The sequence below is a fragment of the Homo sapiens genome, chromosome 20, assembly GCF_000001405.40.
Source record: "Homo sapiens chromosome 20, GRCh38.p14 Primary Assembly".
NCBI classification, from domain to species: Eukaryota; Metazoa; Chordata; class Mammalia; order Primates; family Hominidae; genus Homo; species Homo sapiens.
This window is the reverse complement of record NC_000020.11, coordinates 42819718-42837013: the sequence shown is the minus strand read 5'-3', so window position 1 is coordinate 42837013 and position 17296 is coordinate 42819718. Positions and strand designations below refer to the sequence as shown.

The 17296-nt window shown below is 37.6% G+C and overlaps 1 protein-coding gene and 1 pseudogene across 11 annotated transcripts in view; one reads left to right on the top strand and one right to left on the bottom strand.

Moving 5' to 3' along the window:
* PTPRT (protein tyrosine phosphatase receptor type T) overlaps positions 1-17296 on the top strand; it is a 1158017-nt gene that overhangs the window by 352893 nt on the left and 787828 nt on the right. The gene's annotated exons all lie outside the window — the stretch shown is intronic.
* LOC124904981 (uncharacterized) lies at positions 10312-10460 on the bottom strand (annotated as a pseudogene).

Below are 17296 nucleotides of genomic sequence, written 5' to 3'. Positions count from 1 at the left end.
CAGTTAAGTCTGGCCTCAGACTGCTGGGGTTCAAATCCCAACTCTGGTGCTTCCTTGCTGAGCCACACTGGACACATTAATCTTTCTGTACCTCAATTTCCTTATTTTTGATATGGGGATGGTAGCACGTAATAGTTAATTTCTGAGGATTAAATGAACAGTGAACATAAAATACTTAGCACAGTGCCGTTACATAGCAAGTGCCCAGTAAACACGACTTATTGTCATCTAATTATTTGCTAATTATTTTAGATAGAAAGTAGGCCTTGTTGTTCCAGTTTTATGGATGAGAAATCTGCCAAAACGTGTCTCAGCCAGTGCCAGGAATTCAGTGGCCGATTAAGGATTCAAACCCAGGGCTGTTTGGTTCCAAAGCTCGGCTCATCCCCTTGTGTTTTGTTGCCATTTCTGACTTGCAGCTCTAGAAACCAGGTGTTGGCCTGCGTCCAGGTCTTAGAGTTCAGAGACTTGAATTTCAAGACAGACCTGGCCTTTCTTTTCATATTCAAATACTCTGCTTGGTTCCGCATTGCCAAGCTTGTAAGGAGTCATGAGGATCAGCTTCTAATCTGGGAGGGCTTTGCAGGAAATAGAAATGTCCAAGGGTTGCCATTTATTCAACAGCTGGAAGTACACAGACCAGGTGGTGGCACTGAAGTCTCAGCAGCCATTTATACCTGGTTTCAGGGACTTGTCTCTTGGGAGGTGGGCAGTTGAGAGAACAAAGAAACTCCCAGGAATGTATTGCAGTGGATGGAGGGTCTGGGGTGGGAACATGCCTGGCCCTATGTGGGAGGCGGGGAGAGGAGGGGCTCCTGGCACCTAGGCCTGGGCAGCAGGAGGCTAGGGTAACCTGTTCCTGGCAGGTTCCTTGATTACAGGCATCTGAGGTGGATACAGATTCTTGGAGTCAAATTCTAGAGCTAGGGAGAGGTGGCTGACCCCAAGCCCTCATCTTACCAATGGAAAAATTAGACCAGGGGCAAACAGAGGGGTTTGCATCATCCAAACTCCTCCTTCATGCCAGGCACTGAGCTAGTCTCCTTCCCAACGTGCTATCTCGTAGAAACCTTTACTCTGTGCCCTGAAATCCCCACTTTCTAAATGCAGACTGTCTTCATAATAAGACATGGATATCTATTATGCTTTGCCTGATTAAAGAGAAGGGAGAAGTATTTTCTGCTCTTAATAACTCTCTGTGTCTGTATCTCTCTCATTCTGCTCCCTGTTGATTATTAAGATAGAAAATTGAGGAAATATAGGAAATTGTAAAGAATAAAATGAAAATTATCTATAAACCCAGTAATAACCAAAAATAATCGTTGTTAATAATTTGGTATCATTCATTCTCTTTTTTCTTATTTTTTGATGAAAAAAAGTTCTTGTCTAGAACAGTTTTAAAAGTAATGTATGCTACAAAGCCTTGAGTGAACAGCAGTAGCCCTTCCCCTCTCATTCTCTGCCCCCCTGAGGCAACCAGACTCAGCTCCTTTTGCTGCTGTTTCCCCCTGCGTTTAATACTACATTTCCAAATAAAATAGGCATTCTGCTAGTCCTTTTCTATTTCATTTGGATATCATCTATCTACTGAGTTCTCTGGAAGCTTCCTTGTACGTCCTCACTTACAAACCTTCCCAAGTTTCCTTTTGAAGTCCCCTCATATTGTGATTACATCTCTTTCCTCATTTCCCCAGTCATAGAGATAATACCTGCCTTGCTTTATTATTTTGTTTTCCTTAAAGTGTTTCCAACTCCCCCTCAAAAGTGTTAATCTCATCTCCTTGTGTCTGAATTCTTCAGAATATCTATTGGTTTCATTGTTTTCTCTCCTTGAATTTACATGCCTAGAAGCCTCCAGCTTCCTAGTTTAATATCGCCTGTGTTCTCTTTAGATCCCAGACACATCACTTGTTTTGGAATTTCCTGCTACCTCTCTCCTTTTTCTAGGTCCCATGAGTTCTTTTTTTGTGTGGGGTTTACTTTCTCATTCTATTAGAGCATGGTATATAGGAGCTTCCTGAGAAAAGTTATATTTGAAGGTAAAAAATAATTTAAATATCTTGCCTAGCAGATAATCATTTTATGTTATCCTTACATTTGATTGACAGTTTGGCTGGATATAAAGTTCTGGTAGGCTATAATTTTTTCTCAGAATTATTTTTTTAATTGACATGGAGTAACTTTCCCTCCTTTTGGTACACATATATAGTTTTATGGGTTTAGACAAATGTGTAGAATCATATATCCATTACTCTAGTACATACAGAAGAGATTCAGCCCTCCAAAGAAATTAACATCTGGGAAAAGGAAAAAGGGTGGTGGGGTACGGTGAATTAAAGAATAAAAGATTGATCAGATTATTGGAAGAGAAACCCCATCATATCCCACAACCTGAATAACATTTGCATTGTTTCGGATTTTTGGTGATTATGAATAAATCCACTGTAAATGTCAGCATACCGGTTTTTGTCTCAATGCAAGTTTTTATTTCTTTTCAGTAAATACTAAGATTTCTGAGCTGTACGATAAATGTATATTTGACTTCATAAGGAACTGTCAATCTGTTTTTCAAAATGGTTGTACCATTTTGCATACTCATGAGCAATAGGTGAGGATTCAATTTGTTCCACGTCCTCACCTGCAGTTAGCATTTTTTTTCCTTTTTCCCCTTTGTTTTAAATTTTAGCTCCCCTAACAAAATGTGCAGTTGTGTCTTATTGTGATTTTAATTTGGATTCCCCTAATGAGTAATGATGTTGAACATCTTTTCATATTCTTATTTGCTTTCTGTACATCTTCTTTAGTAATGTGTTTGCTCAAATTTTTTGCCCGTTTAAAAAATTGAGCTGTTATTAAGCTTTGAGAGTTCTTTATATATCCAAATATAAGCATTTTGTCAGATCTGGGATTTTTAATTTTTTTTTCCCAGCCTATGGCTTGTCTTTTTATTCTCTTACCAGTATCTTTTACAGAGCAAAATATTTTAATTTCGATGAAGTCTAACATCAGTTTTTTACTTTTATGGATGATGACACTAAGACGTGTCTTATTTAACAATTTTTAGCCTAGTCCAAGGCCACAAAGATTTTTTCCTGTTTTTGATTTTATATTTTACATTTAGGTTTATGTTCCATTTTGAGTAAACTTTTACATATAGTGAGAGGTATAGGTCAAGGGTCCTCCTTTCTTCCCCCCGCTCCGTGTGAATGTCTAATTGTTCTGGTACTATTTGTTGAAAAGCCTGTCCTTTCTCCACTGAATTATCTTTCTAACTTTGTCAATCCCTCAGAATTTCACAGATGTTGGCTGTGTTGTCTTCTGATTTCCCTTCACAATATTGAGAAGTCCAGTGCCATTCTGATTCCTTATCTTTTATATGAGACATATGTCTGCTTTTATCTTGTAAATGTTTAGTCTTTTTTTCCTTAAATGAGATGGGGCCTCGCTTTGTCATCTAGTGTGGAGTGCAGAGATGTGATCATAGCTCACTGCATCCTTGAGCTCCTGGGCTCAATCAATCCATCCTCCTGCCTCAGCCTTCTGAGTAGCTGAGACTATAGGCACATGCCCCACTTTATTTATTTTATTTATTTATTTATTTTTTCAGAGATGGGGGGTCTCGCTATGTTATCCAGGCTGCTCTCAAATTCTTGGGCTCAGGCGATCCTCTTGTCTCAGCCTCTCATAGTGTTGGCATTTACAAGCATGAACCTTCATGCTTGGCCAAGTTTTTTTTTTTTTCTTTTAATTTCAGTGTTTTGAGGTTTCATAATGACTTTAGGTTTTTTTTTAAGTTATACTGCATGACTATTTGGTTACTATTTCAATTTACAACTTTGTTATCATCAGTTCTAGAAATTATTCTTAAATCATTTCTTTGATAACATATTCTCAGTTTTCTCTCGTATATTTTTTTCTTTCTTTGGCACGGGGTCTCACTGTGTTGTCCAGGTTGGAGTGTAGTGGTGCAGCCAAGGCTGACTGCAACCTCTGCCTCCTGTGTTCAAGCAATCCTCCCACCTCAGCCTCCTGAGTAGCTGGGACTACATACACATGGCTACATTTTTAATATTTTTGTAGAGACACAGTTTTTTATTGCCCAGGCTGATCTCAAACTCCTCGGCTCAAACAATCCTCCCACCTCTGTCTCCCGAAGTACTGAGATTACATGTGTGAGGCACCAAGCCTGGCCTTTTTTTTTTTTTTTTTTTTAACAAATCCTATTAGTTGGCTTTTGGATTACATAAGCCAAAACTCAATTTTCTTGTTTTTTTTTCTTTGCTTTTCCTTCTTCTTCTTCTTTTTTTTTTTTTCTTTCTGTATTCTGGACAATATCCTCAACTTCATCTTCTAAGCCATCTATTGCAATTTTTATTTATACTTGTATAGTTTTAACATCTGATAGTTATCTTGGTTCTTGGAATGATCCTTTTTTACAGCATCTTTTTCTTGGATAAAATCTCTTCTCTCTACATTAAAAAATGCTCTTCAAAATGTCTTTTTTTTTAGCTTTTAGTTTCAGGAGTATGTGTGCAGGTTTGTTATATAGGAAGATTCGTGTTGTGGGGTTTGATTATTTTGTTACCCAGGTCCTAAGCTCAGTACCCAATAGTTAATTTTTTCTGATCCCCTCCCTCCTCTCCCTCTCCACCCTCAAGTAAGCCACAGGGCCTGTTGTTCCCCTCTTTGTGTCCATGTGTTCTCATCATTTAGCTCCCACTTATAAGTGAGAACATGTGGTGTTTGGTTTTCTGTTTCTGCATTAGTTTGCTTAGAATACAGCTCCATCCATATTCCTGCAAGACATGATCTCATTCATTTTTATGGCTACATTGTATTCCATGGTGTATATGTACCACATTTTCTTCATCCAATCTAGGGCACTTAGGTTGATTTCATGTCTTTGCTATTGTGAATAGTGCTGCCATGAACATTCATGTGCATGTGTCTTTATGGTAGAATGATTTATATTCCTTTGGGTGTATACCCAGTAATGGGACTGCTGGGTCGAATGATAGTTCTCTTTTTAGCTCTTTGAGGAATCACCACATTGTTTTCCAAAATGGCTGAACTAATTTACACTCTCACCGACGGTGTGCAAGCATTCCCTTTTCTCTGCAACCTTGCCAGCATCTGTTATTTTTTTGACTTTTAATAATAGCCATTCTTACTGGTGTGAGATGGTATCTCATTGTGGTTTTTATTTGCATCATTTCTCTAATGATCAGTGATAATGAGTTTTTCTTCATGTGCTTGTTGGATGCATGTATGTCTTCTTTTGAAGTGTCTGTTCATGTCCTTTGCCCACTTTCTAATGGGATTGTTTTTCTCTCATAAATGTGTTTAAGTTCCTTATAGATGCTGGATATTATACTGTTGTCAGATGCATAGTTTGCCAACATTTTCTCGCATTATGTAGGTTGTCTGTTTACTCTGTTGATAGTTTATTTTGCTGTGCAGAAGCTGTTAAGTTTAATTAGATCCCATTTCTCCATTTTTGCTTTTATTGCAATCACTTTTGGTATCTTTGTCATGAAATCTTTGCTGTTCCTATGTACAGAATGTCCCTATGCCTAGGTTGTCTTCTAGGGTTTTTATAGTTTGGGGCTTTACATTTAAGTCTTTAATTCATCTTGAGTTGATTTTTGTATAGGGTATAAGGAAATGGTCCAGTTTCAATCTTCTATATATGGCTAGCCAGTTATCCCAGTACCATTTATTGAACAGGGAGTCCTTTCCCCATTGCTTGTTTTTATCAGCCTTGTCAAAATCAGATGGTTGTAGGTGTGGGGCCTTACTTCTGGGCTTTCTATTACGTTTCATTGGTCTATAGATCTGTTTTGGTACCTATACCGTGCTGTTTTATTTACTGTAGCCCTGTAGTATGGTTTGAAGGCAGCTAATATGATACCTCCAGCTTTGTTGTTTTTGCTTAGAATTGCCTTCGCTATTCAGGCCCTTTTGGTTCCATATGAATATTAAAATAGATTTTTCTAGTTCTGTGAAGAACATCACTGGTAGTTTGGTAGATTCTGTAGGTTGCTTTGGGCAGTGTGGCCATTTTAATGATTTAATTCTTCCTATCATGAGCATGGAGTGTTTTTCCATTTGTTTGTTTCATCTCTGATTTATTCGAGCAGTGTTTCATAATTCTCATTGTAGAGATCTTTCACCTCCCTGGTTAGCTGTATTCCTAGGTATTTTATTCTTTTTGTGGCAATTGTGAATGGTATTGTGCTTCTGATTTGGCACTCAGCTTGGCTGTTGTTGGTGTATAGAAATGCTAGTGATTTTCATACACTGATTTTGTATCCTGATTTATATAGATATAAAATCATGTTGTATGCAAACAGGGGGAGTTTGACTTCCTATCTTACTATTTGGATGCCCTTTATTTCTTCCTCTTGGCTTATTGCTTTGGCCAGGGCTTCCAATGCTATGTTGAATAGGAGTGGTGAGAGAGAGCATCCCTGTTGTGTACTGGTTTTAATGGGAATGCTTCCAGCTTTTCCCCATTCCATATGATGTTGGCTGTGTGTTTGTCATAGATGGCTCTTACTATTTTGAGATATGTTCTTTGAATACGTAGTGTATTGAAAGTTTTTAACATGAAGCGATATTGAATTTTATTGAAAGCCTCGTCTGCATCTATAGAGATAATCATGTGGCTTTTGTCTTTAGTTCTGTTTGTGTGATGAATCACGTTTATTGATTTGCACATGTTGAACCAACCACTTGCATCCTTGCAATGAAGCCAACTTGATCATGGTAGATTAGTTTGTGATGTTTTGCTGGATTTGGTTTGCAAGTATTTTGCTGAGAATTTTTGCATTAATGTTCTTCAAGGATATTGGCCTGAAGTTTCTTTTTTTGTTGTGTCTCTGCCAGGTTTTTGTATCAGGATGATGTTGGCCTCATGGAATGAGTTGGGGAGGAGTCTATCCTCCTCAATTTTTTGGAATAGTTTCGGTAGGAAGGGTACCAGATCTTCATTGTACATCTGGTAGTATTCAGCTGTGAATCCTTCTGGTCCTGGGCTTGTTTTGATTGGTAGACTATTTATTACCAATTCAATTTCAGAGCTCATTATTGGTCTGTTCGGGAATAAACTTCTTCCTGGTTCAGTCTTTGGAAGGTGTATATGTCCACAAATGTGTTCAGCTCTTCTAGGTTTTCTAGTTTGTGGGCATAGAGGTGTTCATGGTAGTTTCTAAGGATAATTTTTATTTCTGTGGAGTCAATGGTAATATCCCCTCTGTCATTTCTAATTGGATTTATTTGGATCTACTCTCTCTTCTTGTTTATTTATTAGTCTATTTTATTAACTTTTTCAAAAAACCAACTCCTGGATTCATTGATCTTTTGAATGTTTTTCATGCCTCCATTTCCTTCAGTTCAGCTCTGATTACAGGCATGTGCCACCCACAACCAGCTAATTTTGTATTTTTAGTAGAGATGGGGTTTCACCATGTTGGTCAGGCTGGTTTTGAACTCCTGACCTCAGGTGATCCACCCACCTTGGCCTCTCAAAGTGCTGGGATTGCTGGTGTGAGCCACTGCGCCTGGCCAATCATGGCCTTCTAACAGTCCCCCAAAGTCTTATCTCATTCCAGCATTAACTCAATAGTCCAAGTCCAGAGTTTTGTCTGAGATGAGGTGAGTCCCTTCCACCTATGAGCCTGTAAAATCAAAAGTAAATTAGTTACTTCCCAGATACAGTGGAGGTACGGGCATTGGGTAAATACACCCATTCCAAATGGGAGATGTTGGCCAAAACAAAGGGGCTACAGGCCCCATGCAAATCTAGAATCAGGCAGTAATTAAATCTTAAAGCTCCAAAATAATCTACTTTGACTCCGTGTCTCACATACAGGTCATGCTGATGGAAGAGATGGGTGCCCATGGCCTTGGGCAGCTTGGTCCCTATGGCTTTGCATGGTATAGCCCCCCTTCTGGATGCTTTCATGGGCTTGTGTGGAGTGCCTGTGATTTTTCCAGGCACATGGTGCAAGCTGTCAGTGGATCTAACATTCTGGGGTCTGGAGGACTGTGGCCCTCTTCTCACAGCTCCACTAGGTAGTGCCCCAGTGGAGATTCTGTATGGAGACTCTAACCCCACATTTCCCTTCTGCACTGTCCTAGCAGAGGTTCTCTATGAGGGCTCCACTACTGCAGCAAACTTCTACCTGGACATCCAGGTGTTTCCATATATCCTTTGAAATCTAGGTGGAGGTTTCCAAGCCTCAATTCTTAACTTATGTGCACCCTCAGGCTCAACACCACATGGAAGCTGCTAGGGCACAGGACTTGCACCCTCTTAAGCCATAGCCTGAGCTGTACCTTGGCCCATTTTAGCCATGACTGGAGTGGCTGGGATTCAGGACACGAAGTTCCTAGGCTGCCCACAGCAGGGGTCCCTGGGCCTGGCCCACAAAGCCATTTTTCTTCCTAGTCCTCTGGGGGAGGGGCTACTGTGAAGGTCTTTCACGTGCCCTGGAGACATTTTCCCCCTTGTCTTGGTGATTAACATTCGGCTCCTCATTACTAATGCAAATTTCTGCAGCAGGCTTGGATTTCTCCCCAGAAAATGGGTTTTTCTTTTCTATTGCATTGTCAGCTGCAAATTTTAGAAATTTTTATTTTCTGCTTCCTCTTGAATGCTTTGCCACTTAGAAATTTTTTCTACCGGATACCCTAAATTATCTCTCTCAGTTTCAAAGTTCCATACATCTCTAGGGCAGGGGCAAAATGCCACCAGTCTCTTTGCTAAAGCATAACAAAAGTCACGTTTGCTCCACTTCCCAACAAGTTCCTCATCTCCATCTGAGACCATCTCAACCTGGACTTCATTGTTCACATGACTATCAGCATTCTGGTCAAAGTAATTCAACAAGTCTCTAGGATATTCTGCACTTTCCCAGATTTTCCTGTCATCTTCTAAATCCTCCAAACTGTTCCAATCTCTGCCTGTTACCCAGTTCCAAAGTAGCTTCCACATTTTTGGACATCCTTATAGCAGCACCCTACTCTACTGGTATCAAATTACTGTATTAGTCCATTCTCACACTGCTGATAAGGACATACAAGAGACTGGGTAATTTATAAAGCAAAGATGTTTAGTTGACTCACCGTTCAGCATGGCTGGGGATGCCTCAGGAAACTTATAATAATGGCGGAAGGGGAAGCAAACATGTCCTTTTTCAAATGGTGACATTAAGGAGAAGTGCCAAGAAAAAGGGGGCCATCTCCTTTAAAACCATCAGATCTCTTGAGAACTCACACACTATTATGAGAATGGCAGCATATAGGTAACCACCACCATGATTTAATTACCTCCCACCAGGTCCCTCCCATGACATGTGGGGATTATGAGAACTACAATTCACAATGAGATTTGGGTGGGGACACAGCCAAACCACATAAGGGCATTTATAGTGCTATAGATTTCCCTCTTAACACTGCCTTAGCTGTATCCCAGAGATTCTGGTATGTTGTATCTTTGTTCTCATTAGTTTCAAACAACTTCTTGATGTCTGCCTTAATTTCTTTTTTTTATCCAAAACTTATTCAGGGGCATATTGTTTAATTTTCATAAAATTGCATGGTTTTGAGCAATGTTTTTAGTGTTGACTTCTATTTTTATTGCACTGTGATCTAAGAGTGTGTTTGGAATGATTGTGGTTCTTTTGCATTTTCTGAGGATTGTTTTATGTCATATTGTGTTCACTTTTAAAGTATGTGCCATGTGGTGATGAGAAGAATGTATATTCTGTTGTTTTGGGGTAGAGAGTTCTGTAGAGGTCTATCAGATCCATCTGGTCCAATGTTGAGTTAAAGTCCTAGATAATTTTGTTAATTTTCTACCTCAATGATCTGTCTGATACTCTCAGTGGGGAGTCTCCCACTATTATTGTGTGGAACTTGAAATCTCCTTGTAGGTCTCTAAGAACTTAGTTCATGAATCTAGGTGCTCCTGTGTTGGGTGTGTATATATTTAGGGTTAGGTTAGGTCTTCTTTTTGAATTGAATCCTTTACAATTATGTAATGGCCTTCCTTGTCTTTTTTGATCTTTGGCTGGATAAAGTCTGTGTTGTCTGAAATGAGGGTTGCAACCCCTGCTTTTTCTAATTTCTATTTGCTTGGTAGATTTTCCTCATCCCTTTATTTTGAGCTTTTGTGTGCCATTCATTGCATGTGAGATGGGTCTCTTGAAGATTGCATACCATTTGGTCTTGCTTTTTTATCCAGCTTGCTACCCTGTGCCTTTTAAGTGGAACATTTAGCCCATTTACATTCAAAGTTAATACTGATATGTGTGAATTTGATCTTGCCATTTTGTTGTTAGTTGGTTATCATGCCAGCTTGTTTGTGTGGTTGCTTTATCGTGTCACTGCTCTGCATATGAAACTGATAAGAAGAGATACTACATTTGATCTTAGCCAAAAGGCTGAGAAGCACTTATCTTTTGTTTTCTACCTGCACTTTTCCCCTCCCTGTTTGTTTTGGTCTCTTCTGTTCATGTTAGAGATTTAACTCAAATAGTCATCATCATTGGCTATCCATTCATATTTAAGAGATTGGCACTAAAATTTTGAGTCTATGTATTGCATGGGAGGGGCTTTGTTCACTGACAGGTTTGACTATATGGAAATAAGACAGTAAACTGGATTTTTATGGATGAACATTGGAATGTTCACGGCTAAGGCCTTTTCCTCTCCATCTGGTAAATTTTTCCAAAGATAAGCCTTCTGCACTCATGAAGGCATGGGAAGTATGTGTAACCTGGCTGTGGGTACTCAGAGCTAATTGGGGGATGCTGTCTTCACTCAGTATGTTGGTTTCAGTGGATCACCCGTGGTTTTGCCTGGTGACTTACCCCCTCTCAGCTGGCCACAGAATCCTTGAAGCTATATCCTCTCTGCTTGATATGTTGTAGTAACTACATTTTCAGTCTTATGTAGGTATTGAGAAGGGACTGGCATCTGGTCGCATGGCAGATGTCAAAGGGGGTTTTGTGGGTGGTTGTCTTAACATTTCTTATACAGATTTTCAGGTAATTTTGTTTTCAGCCCTAGGTGTTCCTGCCGTTAGAATAATCTGGTTGCCCCATTTCTGGGTCCTTTTGGTACTCCATGGGTTAAATTGGTTGTATTCTGCTTTCTTACCTGATGGACATACGGGCTTCAGTTTTCACTGCTCTGCTTAATCAGTTACCATTTGTCCAACCATTTTTCTTCCTCCAAAATGTTTGCATCTCTCAATTGCTGTCACTTTTTTCCCCATTCTCTTGGTATATATGGGTTTGTTTATGTCTTTTTAATTCCTACACTGTCATTTTGGTGCATTTGGAAGAAAATGGAGGTTAATGCATGTGTTTACTTTGTGATGTTTAATTGAAAGTTGAACTCTTCTCAAGTCGTTTTTCTATATGTAGATTACTATTTATATACACACATGTGTATGCATATGCTCATACGTTTGCTAAATGTATATATATATTTTACAAAATTAGGTGCAAGCTATAAGTCCTGTTACATGGCTTTTTTTTCTCATTTAGAATTCTATCATTAACATTTTTATGTCATTAAATATTCTTGAATGCTTGGACTTTTACATCAATTAAATTATATCATATTGCCGTATTATTACTTATTTAATTACGTCCTTACACTTGGGTGTTGAAATTGCTTTCAGTCTTTCAGTACAGTAATACTGTCGTGAGATTTTTCACCTAAATATTTGTTATGATTTCTCATTATGTCTTCTAGATTGGGATTATTCAATTGGTGGTGTGGGCATTTTAATGTGATATGTGATTCATATTGTGTTATATGATTCACAACTTGATAATGTGATACGTATTATCAAATTGCTCCTCAGAAAATCATTGAGACAACTGGTAGTCCAAGCATCAGGTAATTACTCATTTACTATTTGCTAATATTAGGAATTATCACTGTTTCAAAATCTTAGCTTATTTGATAAGAAATGACACTGCATCCTATTGACCTGGTTTTTCCTTATTATATAGCCAAATATATTTTATGTTTTGTCCTCTGTGAATTATCTGTTCATAAACATTTTTATATTTTCCATATATGTATATTATAAGCTTTTTTATGGAGAAAGGATATTATTCTTTACCTGGTACTTACATTTTTTCAGTTTTTATTTGCTTTCAGAATTTTTGATGTCTCTGATGAATAGTTTTAATTTTTATGTTGTCCATTATAGAAAACTTTATATCTTCTTTTGCTTTTGAACTTCAAAAGTTATTTCCCTATTCCCAAATGAGATAAATATTCTCTTGTATTTTTCTAGATTTTAATGATTTGATTTTTTATTCTTCTTCATGTTCAACTCTTTATAGTTATGAATTAATTAATTAGCTAGTTAATTAATTTTTCATTCACCATGTGAATAGAATCTAAGTCCATTGTTTTTTCAAATACTATAGTTAATCAGTATTCCAGAACCATGAATTAATAGTTTAGCCTTTCTCCCCTCATTAAAAGTGGGGCTGTTCTCATCAAATGCATTCTCATATATGGTCTATTGATGTTCTTTCTTCTTCTTGTCATTAGCCTGTCTGTTTTTATGTCAGTACAACACTCTTTTAATTATTGTGGCTTTACTAGGTATTTAATTCTTAATAGGACATTCTCTTCTAGTTACACTTTATGAAAAAAAACAAAACAAAACAAAAGAGAGAGAGACTCTTTGTGTCTCCTTTCAAATGATCTTTAGAATTATTTTGCCAAGTTCCAGAAAACTCCTCTTGGGTTTTATTCGAATTGAAAATATTGCTCAAATTATTTTTGTGATAATTTCCATCTTGACTTTATTGAGTCTTCAGACTCAGAATCGTTACCTGTATCTTCACATTTTCAAGGATTCTTTTATTTCCCTCAGTAAAGTTTTGTGGGTTTCTTCATCTGGACCTCTCATATCTCTGTTTAAGTTGATTCCTAGTTATTTGCTACCATGGGATTTAATTTATTTCTTGTCAGAGCTTCCAAGTGGTTATTGATGCTATATAAGAAAGCTGTTGTGTTTTATCTATTTGTTTTTTAACCACTCATCTTACTGAACTTTTTTTTTTAATCAGTACTGCAAGTTTTTGAGTTGATGCTTGTGTTTTTTTTAGGTATTCAATCATATCATCAGGAAAATAATGGTAATTTTATCTCTTGCTTTTCTATTATTATAAAAAATTTCTTTCTTTCTAACTTCTTCCTTCTCTTTCTTCCCTTTTAATTTTATTGCTTAGAGTTTGCAAATCAATATTGAATAATGTAAGTATAACCTTGTTTCATTCCTGAATTTAATAGAAGTGGCTTCAGTGTTTGACTCTTATATATGATGTTGTCTTTGGCTTCAGATGGGCGCTGTTATTCTAATAGAGTATTCTTCTACATCTAAAATACTGACTTTTTTTGAGGAGGATGTGAGTAATAAACTTTTTTTTTAATTTCATTTTTACATTTTGTTTATTCTAAAAAAAGGAAGAAATGGGATACATGTGCACAATATGCAGGTTTGTTACATGAGTATATGTGTGCCATGGTGGTTTGCTGTGCCTATTGACCCATCCTCTAAGTTCCCTCCCCTCACCCTGCCACCCCTCAACAGGCCCTGGTGTGTGTTATTCCCCTCTGTGTGTCCATGTATTCTCAGTGTTCAACTCCCACTTATAAGTGAGAACATGCGGTGTTTGGTTTTCTGTTCCTCTGTTAGTTTGCTGAGGATGCTGGCTTCCAGCTTCATCCATGTCCCTGCAAAGCACATGATCTCATTCCTTTTTATGGCTGCATAGTATTCCATGGTATATATTTACCACATTTTCTTTATCCGGTCTATCATTGATGGGGATTTGGGTTGGCTCCATGTCTTTGCTATTGTAAATAGTGCTGCACTAAACATACATGTGCATGTGTCTTTATAGTAGAATGATTTGCGTTCCTCTGGGTATATACCCAGTAATGGGATTGCTGGGTCAAATGGTATTTCTGGCTCTAGATCCTTGAGGAATTGCCATACTGTTTTCAACAATGGTTGTTACATTCCTACCAACAGTGTAAAATCATTTACATTTCTCCACAGTCTCACTAGCATCTATTGTTTTCTGACTTTTTAATAATCACCATTCTGACTGGCATGAGATGGTATCTCATTATGGTTTTGATTTGCATTTCTTTGATGATCAGTGATGTTGAGCTTTTTTTCATGTTTGTTGGCTGCGTAAATGTCTTCGTTTGAGAAGTGTCTGTTCATATCCTTTGCCACTTTTTGATGGGTTGTTTTTTTCTTGTAAATATGTTTAAGTTCCTTGTAACTTGTGGATATTAGATTTTTGTCAGATGGGTAGATTGCAAAAATTTTCTCCCATTCTGTAGGTTGCCTGTTCACTCTGATGCTAGTTTCTTTTGCTGTGCAGGAGCTCTTTAGTTTAGTTAGATCTCATTGGTCAATTTTGGCCTTTGTTGCAATTGCTTTTGGCATTTTTGTCATGAAGTCTTTGCCCATGCCTATGTCCTGAATGGTATTGCCTAGGTTTTCTTCTGAGATTTTTATGGTTTTGGGTTTTACATTTAAGTCTTTAATCTATCTTGAGATAATTTTTCTATAAGGTATAAGGAAGTGGTCCACTTTCTGTTTTTGCATTTGGCTAGGCAGTTATCCCAGCACCATTTACTTAATAGGATGTCCTTTCCCCATTGCTTGTTTTTGTCAGGTTTGTTGAAGATCAGATGGTTGTAGATGTGTGGTGTTATTTCTGAGGTCTCTATTCTGTTCCATTGGTCTGTATATCTGTTTTGGTACAGGTACCATGCTGTTTTGGTTGCTGTATCCTTGTAGTATAGTTTAAAGTCAAGTAGTTTGATGCCTCCAGCTTTGTTTTGTTTGCTTAGGATTGTCTTGGGGTCTTCTTTGATTCCATATGAAATTTAAAACTATTTTTTCTAATTCTGTGAGTAATGTCAATGGTAGTTTGATGGGAGCAGTGTTGAATCTGTAAATTACTTTGGGCATTATGGCCATTTTCACAGTATTGATTCTTCCTATCCATGAGGATGGAATGTTTTTCCATTTGTTTGTGTCCTCTTATTTCATTGAGAAGTGGTTTGTAGTTCTCCTTGAAGAGATCTTTCACATCCCTTGTTAGCTGTATTCCTAGGTGTTTTATTATCTTTGTAGCAATTGTGAATGGGAGTTCATTCATGATTTGGCTCTCTGCTTGCCTATTGTCAGTGTAAAGGAATGCTTGTGATATTTGCACATTGCTTTTGTATCCCGAGACTTTGCTGAAGTTGCTTATCAGTTCAAGGAGTTTTGTGGCTGAGATGGTGGGGTTTTCTATACATAAAATCATGTTGTCTGCAAACAGAGACAACTTGACTTCCTGTCTTCCTATTTTAATACCCTTTATTTCTTCCTCTTGCCTGGTAACCCTGGCCAGAACTTCCAATACTGTGTTGAATAGGAGTGGTGAGAGGAGGCATCCTTGTCTGTACCAGTTTTCAAAGGGAATGCTTCCAGCTTTTGCCCGTTCAATAAGATATTGGCTGTGGGTTTGTCATAAATAGCTCTTATCATTTTGAGATATGTTCCATCACTACCAAGGTTATTGAGAGTTTTTAACAAGAAGGGATGTTGAATTTTATCAAAGGCCTTTTCTGTACCTATTGAGATAATCATGTGGTTTTTGTCTTTGGTTCTGTTTATGTGATGGATTACATTTATTGATTTGTGTATGTTGAACCAGCCTTGCATCTCAGGGATGAAGCCAACTTGATCATGGTGGATATGTTTTTTGATGTGCTGCTGGATTTGGTTTGTCAGTATTTTACTGAGGATTTTCACATTGATGTTTATCAGGGATATTGGCCTGAAGTTTTCCTTTTTTGTTGTGTCTTCCTGGTTTTGGTATCAGGATGATGTTGGCTTCATAAAATGAGTTAGGGAGGAGTCCCTCCTTTTCAATTGTTTGGAATAGTTTCAGAAGGAATGGTACCAGCTCCTGTTTGCATTTCAGGTAGAGTTCAGCTGTGAATCTGTCTACTCCTGAGCCTTTTTTGGTTGGTAGCCCATTAATTACTGCCTCAATTTCAGAACTTGTTATTGGTCCATTCAGGGTTTTGACTTTTTCCTGGTTTAGTCTTGGTTGAGTGTATGCGTCCAGGAATTTATCAATTTCTTCTAGATTTTCTAGTTTATTTACGTGAGGTTTTTATAGTATTCTCTGATGGCAGTTTGTATTTCTGTGGGATCAGTGGTAATATCCCCTTTATCATTTTTTATTGTGTTTATTTGATTCTTCTTTCTCCTCTTCTTTATTAGTCTAACTAGTGATATATTTTGTTAATTTTTTCGAAAAACCATCTTCTGCATTGTTGATTATTTGGAGATTTTTTTATGTCTCTATCTCCTTCAATTCTTCTCTGATCTTAGTTATTTGTTGTCTTCTGCTAGCTTTTGGATTAGTTTGCTCTTGCCTCTCTAGGTATTTTAATTGTGATGTTAGGATATCAATTTGATATCTTCCTAGCATTCTGATGTGGGCATTTAGTGCTATAAATTTCCCTCTTAACACTGCTTTAGCTGTGTCCCAGAGATTCTGGCATGCTGTCTCCTTGTTCTCATTGGTTTCAAAGAACTTCTTGATTTCTGCCTTAATTTCATTATTTACCCAGGAGTCATTCAGGAGCAGGTTGTTCAATTTCCATGTAATTGTGTGGTTTTCAGTGAGTTTCTTAATCCTGAGTTCTAATTTGATTGCCCTGTGGTCTGAGAGACTGTTTGTTATCATTTTAGTTCTTTTGCATTTCCTAGGGAGTGTTTTACTTCCAATTATTTGGTTGATTTAGCATAAGTGCCATGTGGCACTGAGAAGAATGCATATTCTGTTGATTTTGGTGTAGAGAATTCTATAGACGTCTACTAGGTCCACTTGATCCAGAGCTGAGTTCAACTCCTGAATATCCTTGTTAATTTTCTGTCTCATTGATCTGTCTAATATTGAGAGTGAGGTATTAAAGTCTCCCAATATTATTGTGTGGGAATCTGAGTCTCTTTGTAGGTCTCTAAGATTGTCTTATGAATCTGGGTGCTCCTGTATTGGGTGCATATATATTTAGAATAGTTAGCTCTTCTTGTTGAATTGTTCCCTTTACCATTATGTAATGCCTTTCTTTGTCTTTTTTGATCTTTGTTTAAAGTCTTTTTTATCAGAGATTAGGATTGCAACCCCTGCTTTTTTATTTTTTTTTATTTTTATTTTTATTTTGCTTTCCA